The sequence below is a fragment of the Homo sapiens genome, chromosome 12, assembly GCF_000001405.40.
Source record: "Homo sapiens chromosome 12, GRCh38.p14 Primary Assembly".
NCBI lineage: Eukaryota > Metazoa > Chordata > Mammalia > Primates > Hominidae > Homo > Homo sapiens.
The window spans coordinates 76,458,385-76,480,098 of NC_000012.12; the positions used below are offsets into that span (position 1 = coordinate 76,458,385).

The following is a 21,714-nucleotide window of genomic DNA, read 5'->3' on the forward strand; positions in this document are numbered from 1 at the left end:
ATTGCATTTAAGAATGAAAAAAGGGCTAGGCACGGTGGCTCACACCTGTAATCCCAACACTCTGGGAGGCCAAGGCAGGAGGATCACTTGAGACCAGGAGTTCAAGACCAGCCTGGGCAACATAGTGAGACCACATCTTTACAAAAAATTTCAAAAATTAATTGGGTGTGGTGGCACAAGCCTGGAGTCCTAGCTACTCAGGTGGCAGGAAGATCCCTTGAGCCCAGAAGTTCAAGGTTGCATGAGTTATGGTCGTGCTACTGTACTCCAGCCTGGGTGACAGAGTGAGTCCCCTGTCTCTAAAAAATAAGAATTAAAAAAAAAAAGGATTTAGCATATTACTTTAAATCCTCTCTTTTTAGAAAAAAAATTACATACATACTATAACCAGTTAGAGATAAACAGCAACTGATCTAGACTAAAAAAGTTTATAGTTAGAAGAAACCTTTACCATTTTCTCATTCAGTTCCTTTCCTAGGTCAATGAAATATGAGTCCCAGAACAGTAAACTGACTTGCAATAATCAGATAATTGTTTAGGAATCAATAATAAAACTTCCTAAATCAATATAATTTTCTATATTATTCATCAATGAAGTTAAAAATCTTCATCTATGATGCAGTAAAATTTTAACTGTTTAGTTACACTTGAATGCAGCAAACAGTTTCCTTCTATCTTTGAATAACAGTAGAAGGAAGACACACTGGACTAGTAACCAATTCTAACTTCTCGGATATTTGTGCTATCTTAACTTCAGGCTCTCCTCTATAAAATTAATGCTTCATTAGATAATTTCTGAAGTTCCTTTCACCTCAGCAATTCTATGATTTTTAATATAAAAATTGCCCCTCTTACTCCCTAGCTAGACTATAAAAATTTTTAGGGGCAGGAATCATGTTTTATTCATTATGTACCTCCAAAAGTTGGCAGTGGCTGCCACTCCCTGCCCCAAAAAACTCTCAGTAAAATGTGTTGAGGTGAATTGGATATAATTTTCAAGGATACATCTTCTAAATTCCTAAGGTAAAACATGTTTCACTTATAAAATACCCAAAGTATAAAACAATTTTCGTAATCAAATTATTATGTAAAAATTCTGACAAAATAAAAGTGTTTCTCCCTTTCATATGGCAGTGAAATCCTTGTGCTAGATCTATGCCATGTGATAACTGTAGAAAGAAATACTATGAAGAAGAGGTCCCAAATTATGAGTTAGATAATTAAGTAAATAATGCATCTTAGGTAAGATGTAAATATACAAACACTGCCTATGAATCTCAGATGGACAATGAGAACAGATGGGGCACTGGGTACTAAATGACCATTTATATTCTTTACTTTATATTTCAATTCCTGGAAAGAAAAGTAGAACACTTAATAATTCAAAATTGAAACACCATTTGCCTTTCATAATAATCACACATCAAAATATTATCATGTCCCCAAACATGCCGTTCAAGCTTCAGCTACTTACTTGATGGCCCAAGGACATCTTTGCTATCACCAAGAAGCTTTTAAGGCAGGGTAATTGAGCAGCAAACAAATACAGTCCAAATCAGGAAGAAGCAAAATGCATCAGGACGGAAACAGCAGTGAAACAAAAGGACAAGGAAAATAGCATTAGTTTATAAGTAGAAAGCACATGCACATCAATAGTAATAACCGTAATAATTTACAAGAAACTTCCTTTTCCACACACAAAAAAAGATATTGGATTAAGCAGTATCAAATATTTGTTTTATCTTTAGAAAATGAAGGTGGTAAGAGAAAAATGGATCACCTAAGTATTTTGTTTTGAAAATTAAGTCAAAAATTACTTTCAATTACAATTCAAGATATGTTAGTAAAGGTAAAAATTACATAGAAATTTAAGAGACAGCCAAGTTATGCATTCCTTAAATTTAAGGTGGTTTAAAACTATATAACACCCATGCACTATTAAAGATTAGTTCTGCATGCCATGAAAGCACGTAACACTACAAAGAGATTTAGTATGTTTCTTCTACAAAAGAGTAAGGAACATTTATTGAGTGCTTGTTACATGCCAAGCATTGTGTGAAGAGCATCTACAGAGGCATCAACAAAGTAGAACAAATTCTTTCTCAATTGGCAAAAAAAAAAAAAAAAAGAGAAACATTAATTAGAAAGAAGTTTTACTAAGTCAGACAAACTTTTCTTAGGGCCCACTAAAAATCAAGCATAGTATTTGGAGCTAATGGTCTTTGGGAAGTCAGAAGACCCAACCCTTGAATGAAGAACTTGCAATCAACTAAAAGAAACAGGAAAAAGTCTGCTGACCTTTTGTTTAGTAACTATTTTAACATAAATTACTCTAAATGTTGCCCATGGACAAGTGCTTTGGTTCTGGTAGAAACAGAGTTCTCAGCTCTCCTTCATTTTAAATACCAAATGCAGTAACATACCAAAACAAATGCAGTAACAGAAACAAAAAGTTCCCAATAATTACATTATTTGTTGGTCTTAAAGAGACCTGAGGATCTTAATTGGCTGTGACAAAACAAGTTAGCAGTTGTTTGCTTTGGGCTTTTGTCACCTCCTTGAATAAAATCTTGGACCTATTCCTTCCCTAAGTGATGGCTTTTTACAATACTTGAAATGATCTTCTAATGCCTTGAAGGCATTTGCTCTATTCATGTTTGTGCAGTTTCCCATTTAATCTCATTCTTCTGGTTTTACAAACAAACTAAAGTTGGCAAAGTTATATTCTCCTGGGCTGAAGCAATCCTCCAGCCTCTGCCTCCCAAAATGCTGGAATTACTGATGTAAGCCACCACACCAGGCCCTAAATCACTTCTAATGAACAGAATACAGCCAAAGTGATGGGATGTCTCTTCTGGGATTAGATTATAAAGAGACTGTGACTCCCATCTTGCATGCAGTTTCTCAATCTCTTATAGATTACCCTGGGGAAAGCCAACTGTCACTTCATATGTCAGCCTTGTAGAGAGGCCCACTAGGTGAAAGAACTACGGTGTTAGTGAGGTCGGCAAACACCACTAAGTGAACTTGGAAGCAGATCTCCCACTCCACCCTCCATCCCCAGTCTTTCGTTTTTTGTTTTTTGAGGTAGAGTCTCGCTCTGTTGCCCAGGCTGGAGTGCAGTGGTGTGATCTCGGCTCACTGCAATCTCCACCTCCCGGGTTCAAGCGATTCTTCTGCCTCAGCCTCCTGAGTAGATGGGTCTACAGGCACCCAGCTAATTTTTGTATTTTTAGTAGAGACGGGGTTTCACCATGTTAGCCAGGCCAGTCTCGAACTCCTGACCTTCTGATCCGTCCACCTCAGCCTCCCAAAGTGCTGGGATTACAGGCATGAGCCACCGTGCCCGGCATAGTAAGTCTTTCAGTTGAGACTGCAGCAATGCCCAATCCCCACTATCCTGACTGCAACCACATGAGAGACTGAGTGAGAGACTTCTAGCTAAGCTACTCTTGGATTTTGATCCACGGAAATCTGAGATAATAAATGCTTGTTGTTTTATGCCACTTAATTTTTAGATAGTTTGTTGTGTACCAATAAATAACATAACACTGGAAAACTGGAAAAAAGTTAAGCTGACAGAAACAACTGTGGCAAACTTTACAAATGCTTCATAGACATCTTCTAAGATCTTCCTGAATTGATATAAATGATTGCATCGTTTCCCTAGATTTATCAGTAACTTCCTAAAGGAAAGCAGTGGTTCTAATTGTGTGTATACATGGCTGCGAGTATTTAATTTCACAAGGCCAGTCATGTTTGAAGGTTTTACAGTTCATCTTCTATTTAAAGATTAATAAGCTCAACTTTCATTGTACAGTTCTGTTATATTCTCATATTTTGTCAATTAACAGCACTATGTCAACTGCTATACAGCTGTACTCCTTACTTTTTTACTCCCAGAAAATAATCCTTAGCATATACAACTACTAAATATTTGCTCCAAAAATGTCCAAGCATGGTTAGTCTCGACATTATCCTCAAGCATGTCTGTGTCATACAAATCTGATTCTATTGGATCAATCCTATTTTTTTCAAGTTGAGGCACTGAACAATAATCAAAACAAACATCATCTTTTCCAATCATCCATTCATCCATTTAACAAATATTTACTTAGTAACTACTGCTGACATATATCACTTAGACACCAAGGGACATAGCAGTAAGCAAAACAGACAAAAATCCTGCCCTTGGTACTCATGTCCTAGTAAGACAGATGAACATTAACATAAAAAATGTTAAGTAAAAATTCATGGTATAATATATAGCATAAAAACTAGGGGGGGAAATAAGTAACAAATGGGAACACAAAAAATATTAGGGAAAGGGAGTTAAAATTTTAGATAGGTTGGCCTAAGAAGGCTTCAATACAGAGTTGACTGAATAAGATGAAGGAACCTGGCATAACAACATACAGGGTGAAAGTATGAAAGACAGAGGGAAGAGCAAGTGTACAGGATTATGATGCAAGCAAGTCTGGAATGTTTATGGAAGAGCACGAAGGCCAATGAGGCTGGAATGCAATGCAAAAATAGGAAAGTAGTAGGAGATGAGGTCAGAGGGGTAAACAGATGTCAGGTTGTATAGGACTTTGTAGGGTCTAGTCAAAACTTTGGTTTTATTTTGAATAAGATGGGGAACCACTGGATGGTTTTGAGAAGAGAATTGACACAGTCTGATTATGTTTTAACAGAATCACTCTGATTGCTATGTTGATAACAGACTAGAGAGACAAGGGTATAATCACTTAGGAGGTTACCACTATAATCTAGGAGAGGGGGAATCGTGGACCAAAGTGTTAGCAGTGAAGGTGATGAGAAGTAGCTAAGTTCCAAATATATTTTGAAAATAGAGCAAACAAGATTTCCAAATAGACCAAATGTGAGATAAAAAAGGCAGGAACAAAATGATGTCAAGTGTTGGGGTTTGAGCACCTGGAAGGATGGGACTTTCATTATCTGAGACAGAAAAGATAGTGAGAGCAGCTAGTTTACAGGAAGAAATATAAGGAACTCAGTTTGGGTCAAATTAAGTTTGAAATGCATGTCAGACATTCATCCAAGTGGAAATGTCAAGTAAGCAGCTGGATATATAAATCTGTATAGGGAAAGGTTCAGGCTGGTAAGAAAAATATAAATTATGTATGAGAGTTATGTTATATGACCTGAATGGCTTAATCATAAGAGACTGAAAAATGCCATGGGATAAAAGAACAGGCCCTAGAAAAACATATATTATAATGGACAACACAACTAAGAATCACACTCAAGCACTGCAAATGCAAAGCTGAAACACAATGAAAAATAAGCATGGCTTCAGAAAACTTCCTCAAAAGGATATGGATACAAAAGCACTGAACTGGGAGTCAAGTGAAATCATCCTTCCAGAGTTGCTTGTAAGTGATGCCAATGGGAAACAGGATATAAGTAATTGAGGATTACATATCAAATTTACAAAGTAACGTATACCACTGAAGTCTTCTGCACATGGCTAAACTGCACACTACTAATTTCTTATTCTTACCACTTCTAGGACCTGGGTCAAATTTGTATAGTACCATGTTGTATAACACATGAATAAAAACAATGTGAAATTATTGATGTGGAACCACTCTACACAATTAACTTGTACAATATTTAAAAAGTAAAATGCTAGGCGTTCTTCTTGGTTTTTGTTAAAGAACCTAAATAGAGCTAGAATCTCAGAGAATCCAAGAACAGCTTCTCAGTTTATTCAGAAAAAGGTCATCATGGGCGCCTTGTAGCCCCAGCTACATGGGAGGCTGAGGCAGGAGGACTGCTTGAGCCCAGGAGTTCAAGGCTGCAGTGTACCACGATCCATGATCGCACCTGTGAACAGCCACTGCACTCCAGCCTGAGCAACATAGTGAGACCCTGTCTCTAAAAAGCAACAGTTTCTCTAATTGACTCCATTTGAGTATGTTATTGTTTACCATTGTCCCACAGACAATGTCCACACAGTTATCTAATTTTGTTATAAGTACATCGATAAGATATATCAGTAATAAAAGTTTCAGACATACTATCAAAGTATTTAAAAGCATGAAATATTTATAGCCATTACCCAAATATTTACTAATTTTAGTCTATAAATCTCAGAAATAGTGCACAATGCAAAAAAAAGTGATTTTATTTTATTGTATGTCTAAATATTTGCCACCTCATCTATAATTAGCATTAAACAAGCAATCTTGAGGGTATATAAACATCTTCATCCTGGGAAACTTCTCAGTCTCAAATAAACCACACTGGAAGGCCACCCTAATAATAATGAAGTAATCCCACGCAATCTATAGTTTTGATTCCATCCCTTTGGCACAGCACTTCCCTCTTAATATACATCACGGCTTGATTTAAGTCATCTGACTCATGACAAAGAGCTCATCAAGCACTGATGTAGCTGTTGGCACCTTTTCACCCAATAAAGTTGATCAAGTTGCTACAGAAGCAATCCTACTGCAGCTGGCTCCAAGAAACTACAATTCAGAAAGAGTATACAAAACATCTGAAGAGTGCTCTATTTAGCGTTATCATAGGCCCTTAGAATAACAAACTTCAGAGAGAGCTATATAGTGCAGCTGAGAACTGTCTGTTCTTCGAACAGGAGTCATCACTCTACACTTAGCTGAATTTTTAATATTCCTGTAATCATCTGCAAAATATACTTGTGCACATTTTACCCTTGAGTTTCATGGGAGAGATTTTAAAGGAGTATTTGTCTCGGAACTACAGCTTATCACTGTTGGATAAAGAATATTATCTGGCCTGCCAAGCAGATATTTAAAAATAACCTAATCGCACATTTGATCCAGCAATTCCCCTCCTAGGAATATTAATAAGGGGATCATACAAAATGTTCAAAAAGCTGTGTCTGGCCAGGTGCAGTGGCTCACGCCTGTAATCCCAGCACTTTGGGAGGCTGAGGCGGGCAGTTCACAAGGTCAGGAGATTGAGACTTTCCTGGCTAACAAGGTGAAACTCCGTCTCTACTAAAAATACAAAAAATTAGCCGGGCGTGGTGGCGGGCGCCTATAGTCCTAGCTACTCAGGAGGCTTAGGCAGGAGAATGGCATGAACCCGGGAGGCGGAGCTTACAGTGAGCCAAGATCACGCCACTGCACTCCAGCCTGGGCGACAGAGCAAGACTCCGTCTCAAAAAAATAAAATAAAATAAAATAAAAATAAAAAGATGTGTCCACGGATATTTACCACAACACCATTTACAGTAATCTAAAGAAGTAACCTGTTTCAAACAGGGTAATAAAATACCTTCACACAATGAAATAGCAAGCATGTAGTCATTAAAGTTTCTTTTTCCAGCCAGGTGCAGTGGCTCACACCTGTAATCCCAGCACTTTGGGAGGCCAAGGTGGGAGGATCACTTGAGGTCAAGAGTTTGGGACCAGCCTGGCCAACATGGTGAAACCCCGTCTCTACCAAAAATATAAAAATTAGCTGGGTGTGGTGGTACACGCCTGTAATCCCAGATACTCTGGAGGCTGAGGCAGGAGAATTTCTTGAACCCGGGAGGTGAAGGTTGCAGTAAGCCGAGATCACACCACTGCACTACTGGGCAAAAGAGCAAGACTCTGTCTCAAAAAAGAAAAAAAAAAAGTTCATTTTTCCACCTACTAAAAAAATCCATTATATATTGGCTTTTAAAAGTAGGTTATAAAGAAGCTTGTATGATATGACCCTACTTTTATAAATTTTCTTATACACATACAAACTTACGAAAGATGCCACCAAAATATCAACAGTAGTTAACTTTAGGAGGTAGGATTTTACTTATATTTTTCTGTATTTTTTAAATATGGCATACTAGTATGCATTATTTTTATAGTCAAAAAAGAACTTATTTACATTTTGAAAAAAATATAAAGTTTTTAACTGATATTTTTCAATCTACACTAGCTTATTTCTTATTATGACATAATTATCTATGATTAAGTATAGTGGGAAGTACATTTTAAGAATCCAACTTGAAATCCTAAAAAGATGCAAAAATGTTAACATGTCCCACACAGCACCACATATTACTCACTGTCTCTTGAACTTCAGCAACTTCTGAATATGGCAATATCTAAAAAGAAAACAAATTTTCTTGGGAGTGATTTAATCTCATATACTTAAATCTGAATCTAGAGAGCACCCAGAATTTATCAAATAAATTAAGCGGTGCAATAATCTTTTAAGTAATAGTTATTTTTCAAAAGGTGCAATATTACTTCTACACTGAAAATTGAACCCTTTTTTAAAAATCTTTTTCCAGGCTGGGCGCGGTGGCTCATGCCTGTAATCCCAGCACTTTAGGAGGCCGAAGCGGGTGGATCATTTGAGGTCAGGAGTTCGAGAACAGCCTGGCCAACCTGGTGAAACGTCGTATCTACTAAAAATACAAAAAATTAGCCAGGCATGCTGGCAGGTGCCTGTAATCCCAGCTACTTGGGAGGCTGAGGCAGGAGAATCGCTTGAACCCGGGGGCGGGGGCGGAGGCTGCAGTGAGCCAAGATTGCACCATTGCACTCCAGCCTGGACAAGAACGAAACTCTGTCTCAAAAAAAAAAAAAATCTTTTTTTAATCCTGAGTCATCTGGAAATTACAGTTAATTTGCCAACCTGTGGAGTCCTCTCTGGCATTGGCCTGGTAGTTTTTCACACTTTATATCCTTCCTTTATGTATTTAAAGTCTTCTTTAAATGTATGTATCAGTCTTCTTTATGTATGTATCAGTCTTCTCATGTAAGCCTCTTTTGGTTTCTAAGAATACTCCTCTGCTCTGGCTTCCCTTCTATTTTCCTGCCTCCACACATTGTCCTCCCATTCAGCAAGTGAATGGCCATTACCAGTGCTCAGCTTCAACTATTTGTTGTTCTTCCTCTACCTGCTCTTTTCCTGCAGGTTCCATTGATGCTCAAGGCTCATTTATCACCTATATTCAGATAACTTCCTAGTTTCTTCTTCATACCTAGCATATCTCCAAAACTTCAAAACATTTCTACCTATATGTTTGGACATTATTGCATATTAATTTCTAGTTCTAAAATTATGTTAACAAAGGAAGGGCTTTACATCTTTGTATCAGAGATAGTAATCAGCTTTCTCTCAGAAACCAGCTTCCACACTGATTTGCCCATCTTTCTTTCAAACACTCAGGCATAAACCCTTGATTCCTCTGAGACATTTCCCCCAACATCTGATTAAATTATTAAATTCTGATTTTTTTGCCTCTATGGTGCCTATTTCACATTCAGTCTTTTTTTTTTCACTTCCCATTAGTGCCCCCTATGTCAGACCCACATCACCTCATGTGTCAACTTCTGCATCTCCCTTTTGGTAGATGTCCCTGCATGCAGTCTCAGCCCACTCATTCATTTACTATGCTACATACCAGAATTTAAAAACATGATAAAAACATAGTCCCTACTGCCAAGATCACCATACACAGAAGACAGTATGTATTACGGTTTATTCAACACTAAGATAAGTGATCTCCAGTCTACCCAACATTACCCATTCTTCAGGCTATCCCATCATTAGCATGCCACTTAACTTCTTTCTGTGAGGTTTCTTTTTCTCCTTTGTAAATGCACTAATTATTAAACCTTCCAAATTTCTAGAATTGTTATGAGGCTTAATAATAGTTTACCTGAGTATTGTATATAAATTTGTTTTGAAAATCAGTATATAGACATAAGGCAGAATTACTTATTATTAAAACAAATGACAAAGACTAAGAAAGGACCTAGAAAAAAGTGATTAATTTACCAACTTAATTTTCTAGGCAGTCACTCTGGCCTCATTTCTCCTCCACTAAAGAACATCTGGTGGCACCCTATTCTTTTAAAAATAAACCCCAAACACTGATAGTTAAAATATTTTACAATTTGGCCCAATTATCCATCCCACAGAAATAATGATTTTCTATGAGATGGTCTCACATCTCCACTTAACTCAAACTCCACTTAGCTAAAATTCTGTCTAGTAAAACTGATTGCTTAAAGTGATCTGTAATTTTCTCCCTACTTTGTTTCTGCTTTCCTACTCAATAGCTTGAAATTTTTATATGTATTTTCTGTCTTTCTCCACTCAAATGTTAGCTCCACTGGAGTGGGAATTTTGTCTATTTTGTTCACTGCAATATCTCTTAAAACTAGAACAGAGCTTTGCGCCATAGCAGACACTCAACAAACCCCTCACCTTGAGAGCTCAAATTGCCAATTCTGCTACCTATGTTCAAGCTAAAGTTATCGTTCTCCAACTCTGACTTTCTAATGTGAATTCTTTGATAATTCATAATTATCTCACAGTATTGTCTCTCTTGCCATACAAATAAATAAATAATTCAATTGTTATTTAACTTTTCTCCACCATTATAATGGTCTAGTACAGTGCTGTCAAATAGAACTTTCTACGACGATAGAAATAGTGTGTATCTGTAATGTCCAACAGGGTAGCTACTACCTACATGTAGCTATTGAAATCTTGAAATGTGGCTAGTAAAACTAAGGAAGAACTTTTAATTTAATTAGGTTAACTTTAAATTAGTCACATGTGGGAAGTGGCTATACTATCAGACAACTCAGGTCTAGCACAATCTTACCTTTCCCTAGCTCACCTAACACTGACCACACCTCTAGCATTTGCCACTGCTGACCACTCCTTTTCTGAAAACTCTGTCCTCTCTTAGTTTCCAACCTATTTTCTCTTTCTCCTCCCTCTCTCTGCATCCTAGAATCTCTTATTTCCATTCAACATGATTTCCCCATGTGATTCCATTGACTTGATTTTTTAAAGAGCTCAGTTCACTAACTCCCCAAATCAGTTTCCTACCTTAACCACTCCTGAGCTGCAGACCCTCAAGGCCATTCCAATGATTCTCCTGGTGAATTCATTCTTCTTATATAAAGCATGACATCCTTGATAAGGGATTTCCTGACCTCCCACTGCAGGCATAACAAATAGATATTCCATCTGTCTTGTCACTGCATCTTTCTATTATCAGGTCGGATTGCAGGGGAGAGCCCACAGAGCTCCATGTGTTCCTAGCAACACTGACTCTGTACCTCCACCTTCCTGAGTAGGAGGAAAGACCCTTCACTCACCCTTTCCCACAACCCCAAACGCTTACAGACTAACCACCGTCTGCCCAACAGATATGCAAGCTTTACACTCAGTTCTTATTTTTTGCCTAGAAAACTTCCTTTAGGATTCTGCTCAAAAGCTACTTCATCACAATACTTCCATAATATTCCCAAAACAGCAATCATCCCCTATTTTGTTACTCTCTATCCTTCTTACCCTGCTTTATTTTTCGTCACAGCAATCATCTCGTAACACAGTTCATATTTATATATTTTTTCTTTCTCTACTGAAATGTTAGCTCCACTGAAGTGGGAATTTTGTCTATTTTGTTCACTGCTATATTCCTTAAAACTAGAACAGAGCCTGGCACCATTGTGGACACTCAGCAAATACTGAATGAATAAAGACAAGAAAAGAAAAAAAAAAGGCTTAGTGATTATAACCCTAATACCTAGCAAAGTCTTTGGCCATCTGATAAGCCCAAATTCCATCACTAAGAATTCCCTCATTCTTTTCCTTAAATAGTTCTGTCCTGCATAAAATAACATTGTTACAGATTCACTATCAGTTTTTGGTAATGAAACATGAATTACATTTCTTCTGGCACTGGTGGTCTCTTGCCATGATTAATCCAACCTCCTTTATCAAGGTCTTCACATACAAGAGAAGCTCAAAATTAACCAATATGATTTTCACTTGTAACTAATGGCATGCATCTGGTGAGACTGCTGGCGGACTCTGTGGTTAGGAAACCAGAAAAACTTTACTGCCCACTAAAAGAATTAAAGCTATAACCTTGAGCTTTGACTTCATTAACATTTTCCTCTAAATCTGGCCTAACGAGCCACAGTTGCCTGAAAAGGTTATGAAATAGCACAACCGAAACCATATTATCACATCATAATCATGCCAGGTGATATGAGAACTGGTTATATGAGACAGCATATACATGAACATTTCAGTGTCTGATGCTTCATCTTACGACCTGTTTCACGCATTTCAATTGTCAATCTGAAATAAAAGCATCTTACTTGAAATTTCATTTTGGCCAATTCTTTGCATGCTTATATAGAGATATGTGAGCCTACATTCTAGATTAAATCATGACTGAGATCTAAATTAAGACATAAGAGCTGCAAAAAAATACCTTCATTCCTTCTAGATTTCTATTCCATTTCTAACAAATCACTGATTAGTATATCACACTGCACAGCATCAAGCCACAGGCAAGACTGCTAATAATAACATGGAAACGTCAACCCCCATGACTCATCAATCTACCACACATAAGAATGCAGTTAGCAACTGTTCCTCATGTCTCTGCAACTACATGGTGCTCAAATGTCAAAATATTCAGCCTAGATAGAAAAGTCAAAATTATTAATAGTTACAGGAAAATAAAGCTTTGGATTAAATAAAACAGATCACGTATCACATATTTTTCAATGTATACCAAAAATTATATTAGGTAATGAATATAAAAACTAATGAATATAACAACTTTAAAAAGATGCTTAAAAGTCTAGGTGTAATATAGATGAGTTTATAACCCAAAAAAAAGCCCTCTCTTTCAATAAGAATAAGAGAATTAGAATATTTACATTTAGATCCTAGTGCTGCCCACTGTCTGGCTAACTGACTTTATGCAAATTACCCTTTCAGAGCCTCGGTTTCTTCATCTCTTAAAAACAGAGTAACATCTACCTTACAGTATTATAGAAAGGATTAAATGAGAAACTGTATGGGACACCAAGCCTCTGTACACCTCCACTTGGATACACATCTCAAACTCAGTATGTCCAAAACCGACTTCATCTTCCCTTTCTCTGCCCCTGCTCTTCTTCCTATATTTTCTCCCTTAAGGAATGGTACCTCCCACCAAATCACACAACACAGAAACCTGTAAGTCGCTCTAAATTTCTCCTTCACTTTTATTTTCCTCATCTATATTCTCCTCCACTCCTAATATTAAGTCCAGGACAAGGTCCTAAAGCTCTACGTAGTCTCTCATATTTACCCTTTATTTCTCATATCCACAGTTACTGCTACTACCTGCCACCTGAATTTCTTACACTTAAGCAATTTATCTTCCATACCGATATCATAGAGAGCCTTCTAAAGTTGTTCAACAACATGGTTGAGTCACTTCAATGATTCTGCACTCCCACAGCCTACCAAAATTGGAGAGAAAAACATTTAACCCCATCTTCAAGGCTCTTCACAATTTTGTCAATCTTATGTCATGCATTCCTCCAAACACCCATCAATCCTACACTTCACAAATGTGACAAACTGAAAATGACTTTCACTTCTTCAAACATACCATGTTGTTGAACAATTTACTTGTTACTCTCACAGCTCCTTTTGCCTACAATGCCATTCTCACCTTCACCAGGCAAATACCTAAGTTCCTTTCAACACTCAGGTTAAGCATTACCTTGTCTTAAAAAACTTTTTTGATACTGACTTTTCAACTCCACTCAAATAACTGACTCTTCTGATCCCCTCTGCATCGTATATGGTCATCTATAACAATGTTATCTCATCCAGTATGAATTAACGCTAAACACATAATGCCCTAAAACTCATAGAAAGAAAATGTAATTCGATATGCAAAGGCCTGAGTTCAAGTCCTGACTCCATCGTCTACTTGTCGTATAGCTCGGGAAAAGCTATATAATTTCTCTTTATCCCAGTTTCTGCATCTGTAAGATGAGGATACCACCATCTTAACATCATTTTTAAGATTCTACATGTTTAATATATGTAAAATTGGTCTTTAGTATCTTCCTGAAACCACACATCCAATCAATCACCAGGTCCTGCTGATTTGCATCTCTAATTCCTTCCACATATTTTCTATTCTGCTACCACTACTGTAGGGACCAGCCCCACAGGGTCGGTGGGTTTTTCTCCCTGTGTGTGGAGACAAGATATTGTAGAAATAAAGACACTAGACAAAGAGATAAGAGAAAAGACAGCTGGGCCCGGGGGACCACTACCACCAAGACGCGGAGACTGGTAGTGGCCCCGAATGCCAGGCTGTGCTGATATTTATTGGATACAAGACAAAGGGGCAGGGTAAGGAGTGTGAGCCATCTCCAATGATAGGTAAGGTCACGTGGGTCACGTGTCCACTGGACAGGGGGCCCTTCCCTGCCTGGCAGCTGAGGCAGAGAGAGACAGGGAGAGAGAGAGACAGCTTACACCATTATTTCTGTATATCAGAGACTTTTAGTATTTTCACTAATTTTGCTAATATTATCTAAAAGGCAGAGCCAGGTGTACAGGATGGAACATGAAAGTGGACTAGGAGCATGACCACTGAAGCACAGCATCACAGGGAGACGGTTAGGCCTCCAGATAACTGTGGGCAGGCCTGACTGATGTCAGGCCCTCCACAAGAGGTGGAGGAGTAGAGTCTTCTCTAAACTCCCCCGGGGAAAGGGAGACTCCCTTTCCTGGTCTGCTAAGTAGCAGGTGTTTTTCCTTGACACTGACGCTACCGCTAGACCATGGTCTGCTTGGCAACGGGCGTCTTTCCAGATGCTGGCGTTACCACTAGACCAAGGAGCCCTCTGGTGGCCCTGTCCGGGCATAACAGAAGGCTCACACTCTTGTCTTCTGGTCACTTCTCACTATGTCCCCTCAGCTCCTATCTCTCTGTGTGGCCTGGTTTTTCCTAGGTTATGATTATAGAGCGAGGATTATTATAATATTGGAATAAAGAGTAATTGCTACAAACTAATGATTAATGATATTCATATATCATTATGTCTATGATCTAGATCTAGTATAACTCTTATTGTTTTATATATTTTATTATACTGGAACAGCTTGTGCCCTCGGTCTCTTGCCTGGGCACCTAGGTGGCTTGCCACCCACACACTACCATAGAAGTTTTAATTGCCTTTTATCTAGATTTCACAACAGCATGCTAACTTGTTCCCTGAACTAACCACCTCTATTTCTATGGTTTTCAACCTTAGATGCACATTGAAATCAACTAAGGGACTTTAAAAGGTACTAATATACGCAACTCACCCTCTGAGATTCTAATTCAATTGAATAGGAATGTAGCTGTACATCAGTTTTTCAAAACATCCCAGATAACTCTAACATTCAACTGGTTGCCCCCAATACTCCACAATTTTGCCATGCTGATATTCCTAAACCACAACTCGAACAGGTTGGTTCCCTGCTCCAAAATCTTCAACAATTTCATACTGTGTTAACAACAAAGATCCCAAACAGTAAAAGTAGTATTCAAGGCCCTGTATGATCTGATTCAAAGAGACGCAATATAGGAAAGTGATTAAAGGTTCACCCCTGGAGCCAAAATGTATCCCAGCTCTGCTACTTACTAGATGTGTGTCCTTGTCTCTGTATCCTTGTAATTCTATCTATCTCATAGGGTTATTTTAAAGATTAAATGAGTTTATGGGCAAGGCATTTTGAATAGCTGGCGGCACACAGTAGAAATTTAATAAACATTAGTCATTATTCATTTCTAATAGCTTTATTTCCTACTAATTCCCCTAATGCAGCCAACAGTTTTACCCATAAGACCTAAATAAAACCTGCTCTAAACACAGTATAGGCATGAACCTAGGAAGGTACTATGTGTAGAATGTGCTTAATGAAGGTAGGTTAGTTTGCTGAACCCAATAAATGTTTAAATAAAATAAAATAAATTTAAAAAACATAAAAATTTTTTAAGTATTTTGATTTAACGTCCAACCAAATCTCCACTTGTCTGTCTAGTGACAGTAGAACAATGAAGGGATTTTTATCCATACCTCAACTTAGTAGGTTTTCATTAACTTGTGACTGCTTCAGAAGTCAACTTAAGTTTAATAGGGTGAAAACAGCAGCAATGGAGCAAGAGCAAGCTTGGGATGGGGGGATAAATTTATATATACGCACTTGTGTATGTACACACATACATATATATATATAATTTAATTTTGTGTGTATATGTATAAAAATAATATTAATCTTTTTGGGGGGAGGCAGAGTCTCACTCTGTTGCCCAAGCTGGAGTGCAGTGGCATGATCTTGGCTCACTGCAGCCTCAACCGCCAGGGCTCTAGTGATCCTCCCACCTCAGCCTCTTGAGTAGCTGGGACCACAGGCACATGCCACCATGACTGGCTAATGTTTTTTATTATTTGTAGAAACAAGGTCTCACTATGTTGCCCAGGCTAGTCTTGAACTCCCAGGCTCAAGCAATCCTCCTGCCTCAGCCTCCCAAAGTGCTGGGATTACAGGCGTGAGCCACTGCACCCAGCCCGAAATTAAATTTTATGTCTATATGTATGTGTGTACACAGACAAACACATGCATATAAATTCATCACCCAATCCCCAAGCTTGCTCTTGCTCCATTGCTGCTATTTTCACCCTATTAAACTTAAGTTGACTTCTGAACCGGTGACTTTTGAAGCAGTCACAACTTAATGAAAACCTACTAAGCTGAGGTACGGATAAAAATCTCTTTATTGTTCTACTGTCACTAGAAAGACAGGTAGAGATTTGGTTGGACTTTTAACCAAATTTTATCTTCACATATCTCCAATATGCTGAAATTTGAATCCTTCACATTTCTTTCTGAGGTTTTATGGGACTCCCATGAATTTTTTTTATTTTAATCTTAAATTTAAGATTCTTAACATACACCATTTTAATTAAGAGTTAAATGTGGAGCTGTGGGTGTCTAAGCTTTAATTATATCCTACTTATGAGAAGCTCTGGCATGTCTTAAAACTTGGGAGAAAGAGCAAATGACAATACTTTTAAAAAACCTTCATATGTTTAAAAGCTAAGTAGTTGCATTATTTATGGATACTGAAGGAAATAATAAGTATTTAAAGCCAGTTCTCCTCCCAAAGTCTAGATTAGCAAAACAAATAGCTTTGACTATTCTCCTGTTAAATAATTTCACTGTCTACACTGAGTAAATGACACAGTCTGTTTTTTCAGGTGGTCCCTTAATAGTTCTATTTTTTAATTTTTAAACTGTGTATCACATGTGACAAAGATCTTAATATGAATTAACTGTGCAACAGTTCTGTTCTTTTAAATCTCTGGTCCACTTTCAGCCTCTCTATACACAGAGAATGCAAAGCCAATAAAGAAGAAGCCAATTGCTTTTGCAAGTAAGAACTGAATTACTAGTGAGGTAACAAGTCCCCACCCGACCCTAGCCCCTGAACCCGTCCCTGGAGATGGAGAAAGTGGAGTATCACAGATAAAGGAAAGGCCAGGAGAAGGGAACAGGAGGAAGGGTTGGAAGCCAGCCATCTTTCTATGCTCTTTTCTCTCTAATCATTGAACACCCTGTTTTTACTATGAGCACAAAACATGATTTAATTCCAAACAGAGGCATTAAACACAGTCCTAAGTAAGCATTTTTGCTTTTAAACTGTGCGTGTACACACATGCAGTACTGTTGCAGTACACACATACCAAATGCAGGCAGAGAGGCCAACTACTACCGTCCACTGCGCTTTCTCTCAAATGGGCTGTTTACAACTGAGGAGACAGTTTATGGATAAGAAGTGTGCTCAGAACAGAGATAAAGAAAAGTTCCCTAAGAAACAGAATATATAAGCAACTGGGGAAATGAGGTGGAAGCTATGATTTTAATAAAAAAGATTCTCTACCCTAAGACATGTATTCTCTAGATTGACCAAAATGGTGAAAAGTTAGTCCCTGGGCTCTTACCTTTCTATGTAGGACAGTATCAGACAAGGCAGTAATATTCCCAGAAGAATATTATTAAGAGAATATAAGCTCACAAACAAAAATAATATTCTAAGGAGCCCAAGTGCTGTGAAAGACAACAAACTGAACAATCTTGGTGAAAGAAAAGAAAATCAGTGAACCAAACTAATCAAGAACTTAATAAACATGTTTAAAAAGATAAATGAGGATATTATAAAACTGAAGCATGAACAAGCAAATATTTTTAAAGCCGATAATACTGGGTATAAAAATATTATAGAGAAATAAAATATAGTAGACTTGAAAAGCAAAATGAATATGATCCAATAATAAATTAATGAGCTAGAAGAATGATCAAGTAATTCAAAAAGAAGTCATCAGGAAGAAAAAAGATGGAAAATATACATAAGTTAAGCAAGATGAAAGAATGAAACAGAAGTGCCACATTCACAAAATAAGAGATGCAAAAGGAAGGCATAAAAGATTTAAATAGTAACAGAACACTAAATTTTAAATAATTCTGAAAACCTACACAGAATGAATACCTTTCTAGAAAAGACTTCCCAAGTCTCATCGCCAGACATACATTCATAAAACCACAGACTCAACTGTATAAGGAATGGAAGAAAAAGGGAAAAAAACCTATTATTTGCAGATGATATGAATCAGACAAAATATTAAAACTAATGAAAAGTAAGCAGACATTCAACAAATATCTGTTAAATGACCAAATGAGAAAAGAAAGAAACAAAGTCAAAAAACTGCTGAAAGGTAGAGGTCCTGTCTCAACATAAAGCAGAGTTATAAAAAAGCCAGAGTTTATCTTGGTATCACTCCCTTATTCTTAAAGGCCCTGTCAATTCTTTCTTCTACTCTCCCACCCCCAAACCTCATCTTCTTGGTTCCTTTTGTCATATCAGGCAGCTGTCAATTATTCTTTCTTTAAGTGTTAGTTGCTTAAGGCTTAGATGACCAACTCAAACTTTTGGGTCTCGAGTTTCCTTTATACTCTTAGAAACTGTTGAAGACTCCAAAGAGCTATTGTATATGTGGATTATGCCTAGTAATATTTTCTGAATTAAAAACAAATTTAATGGGAAATTTACTAACCACCTCAGCCAGGTGATCACAGTCAACAGCAAAAATAAGTTATGCTGACAGAATATACCCTTGGTATGATGTGATGAAAACGGCACTTTATCTCTGTGGTCTTCCTTCTCAAAATCCATTAAACTTAGTCTAATCATGAAAAACATATCAAACAAATTCCAGTTCAGGGATACTATGTAAAATAACTAACCAGTAGCCCTCAAAACAGTCAAGGTTCATTCAAAACAAAGAAAGTCTGACACACGGTCATAATCAAGAAGAACATGAGGAAACACGAGAACTAAATGTAACGTGACGTCCTGAATTGGATCCTGGAACATAAAAAGGACATTACGTAAAAACTAAGTAAATCTGAATCAAGTATGGATTTCTGTTAATAATGTATCAACATGAGTTCATCAATTATATCACATGTACCACACTAATATAAGATGTTCCTAATAGGCGAAGGGGGGGTACAACATATATGGGAACTCTATTATCTTTACAATTTTTCTGTAAACCTAATACTGTTCTAAAACAAAGTTTATTTAAAAATATATATATCTTAGAAAAAATTAAACTAAAAAAAAAAAATTGAAAACAAAAGAATTCATGGCCGGGCATGGTGGCTCACACCTGTAATCCCAGCATTTTGGGAGGCTGAGGAGGGTGGATCACCTGAGGTCAGGAGTTTGGGATCAGCCTGGCCAACATGGTGAAACTCCATCTCTACTAAAAATACAAAACTTAGCCAGGCATGGTGGTGCGCCTGTAATCCCAGCTACTCCGAAGGCTGAGGTAGAAGAATTGCTTGAACCTGGGAGGCAGAGGCTTCAGTGAGCTGAGACTGCGCCTCTGCACTCCAGCCTAGGCAACAGAGCGAGACTCCATCTAAAAAAAAAAGAATTCACAAACACACCCTCCGGTAGCCACCAGAGCAATGACATCATGTTTTATGTGGTCTCTGGAAAGTTCTACTGTGCCCTCATGAGGATAAAAAAGACAAATAATATAAAGTACCATGGTATTATTACAAAAAAAAAATAATTTTTACCCCTCACAGATTCTCTGAAAGGGTCTTAGAGAGTCTCAGAGTCCTGGGAACCCACTTTAAGAAAATCTCCAAGAATAATAGAAACACAAAAGATGTGTGGCTGGGAATTCTGCTGTTACATTCTGTATGCCACTGGTTATTTCTCTTTCTTTTAAAAAGCTAACGCTTTCTCCAATGAGGCTCCCCAAATTTACTACAGAGTCCAATTATATACCTGAATGATTTTTACATTACTCAAGCCTCTAACAAGAATAACCATCTAATAAGGTAAGAAAAAAAAAAAGAAAAACGATATAATGAGATGCAATCTTTAGTACTCACACAATAGGTAATACTGAGCAATATATTCACACTTAGGAAGTTCAAACAATTACAAATATTTAAGTACTGCTAACAAAACTTTCAGAAGTTAAAGTAATGGAGATGTAAACAAAGTGTAACAGGCCGGGCACAGTGGCTCACACCTGTAATCCCAGCACTTTGGGAGGCCGAGGCGGGTGGATCATGACGTCAGGAGATCGAGACCATCCTGGCTAACAGGGTGAAACTCCGTCTCTACTAAAAATACAAAAAATTAGCCGGGTGTGATGGCAGGCGCCTGTAGTCCCAGCTGCTCGGGAGGCTGAGGCAGGAGAATGGCATGAACCCAGGATCATGCCACTGCACTCCAGCCTGGGCGACAGAGCGAGACTCTGTCTCAGTATAACAAAGTATACCTATCAAATTATTTTGACCTTTTCTAAATGTCTCCCTTTAATAGAAGTTTCAATAAAGCTATAAAGTGGCAAAAGACAAAATACCTAACAAAATGTAGATTGGATTGTACATTTTAAAATAACTAAATGAGTATAATTGGATTGTAACACAAAGGATAAAAGCTTAAGGGGATGGATACCCCATCATCCATGTGATCATTACGCACTACACGCCTGTATCAAAACATCCCATATATCCCATAAATATATCCACCCACTACATGCACACAAAATTTTTTTAAAAATTAAAATAGAAGATTTTTATTGCATTAAAAAAATGTATGTTGATTGGTTTGCTTGCTCAAAAGGTACAGACTAGTCATAATCATTCTTTCCAGCCTCCACTTTTCTAACCCAATTAGAATTCTAATGTATACCACTATCGAAATAACAGATCTAGGCAATGAACATCAATGGTTGCTATTACCACATAAAGAGAGAGAATCAGACATTATGTGCCTCCTGACGGTTACATACAACACCATTTATACATCATTATTGTCAAAAAAAATTTGAACCTTGATCTGTGCAAGCCTCTAATTCTAACAACCAACTTGCAGGAAATATAAGGGACTGATGAACACCTTAAACATCACCATGAGGGGAAAATTCATATTGTAGAAAACTCCACAGAATAAACCATCGTGTTTTTTCAATAAATTGAAAGGTAAAAATTAACAGATATCGGAGAGATTTAAAAGATTCAAAAAGACTTGTGACTTATCAACTAAGTCCAACACAACAACCTACTATAAAAAGAATATGAGAGGCCGGGCGCGGTGGCTCATGCCTGTAACCCCAGCACTTTGGGAAGCCGAGGCTGGCGGATCACCTGAGGTCGGGAGTTCAAGACCAGCATAACCAACACGGAGAAACTCTGTCTCTACTAAAAATACAAAAATTAGCCGGGCATGGTGGCGCATGCCTGTAATCCCAGCTACTCGGGAGGCTGAGGCAGGAGAATCGCTTGAACCCAGGAGGC

The 21,714-nt window shown here is 37.6% G+C and overlaps 1 protein-coding gene across 19 annotated transcripts in view, besides 1 other annotated feature; it reads right to left on the reverse strand.

Moving 5' to 3' along the window:
- OSBPL8 (oxysterol binding protein like 8) overlaps positions 1-21,714 on the reverse strand; it is a 207,975-nt gene that overhangs the window by 106,588 nt on the left and 79,673 nt on the right. For 10 of the 19 annotated variants that reach the window (NM_001319653.2, NM_020841.5, XM_017018769.3 and 7 more), the window contains one exon: positions 1,475-1,511. The exons of 4 other annotated variants lie outside the window; for them this stretch is intronic. In NM_001319653.2, the coding sequence (NP_001306582.1) occupies positions 1,475-1,511 (37 nt within the window). Of the gene's footprint in view, positions 1-1,474; positions 1,512-8,065; positions 8,105-21,714 lie in introns of all 19 variants that reach the window. 5 more of the 19 variants (XM_011537856.4, XM_047428249.1, XM_011537857.4 and 2 more) reach the window with 1 other exon arrangement.
- Positions 13,265-13,344: an enhancer, noted in NCBI's record as "active region_6676". NCBI's record gives its function as "activates an Ori minimal core promoter by ATAC-STARR-seq in GM12878 lymphoblastoid cells {active_cell/tissue: GM12878}" and the evidence as "EXISTENCE:reporter gene assay evidence [ECO:0000049][PMID:35858748]".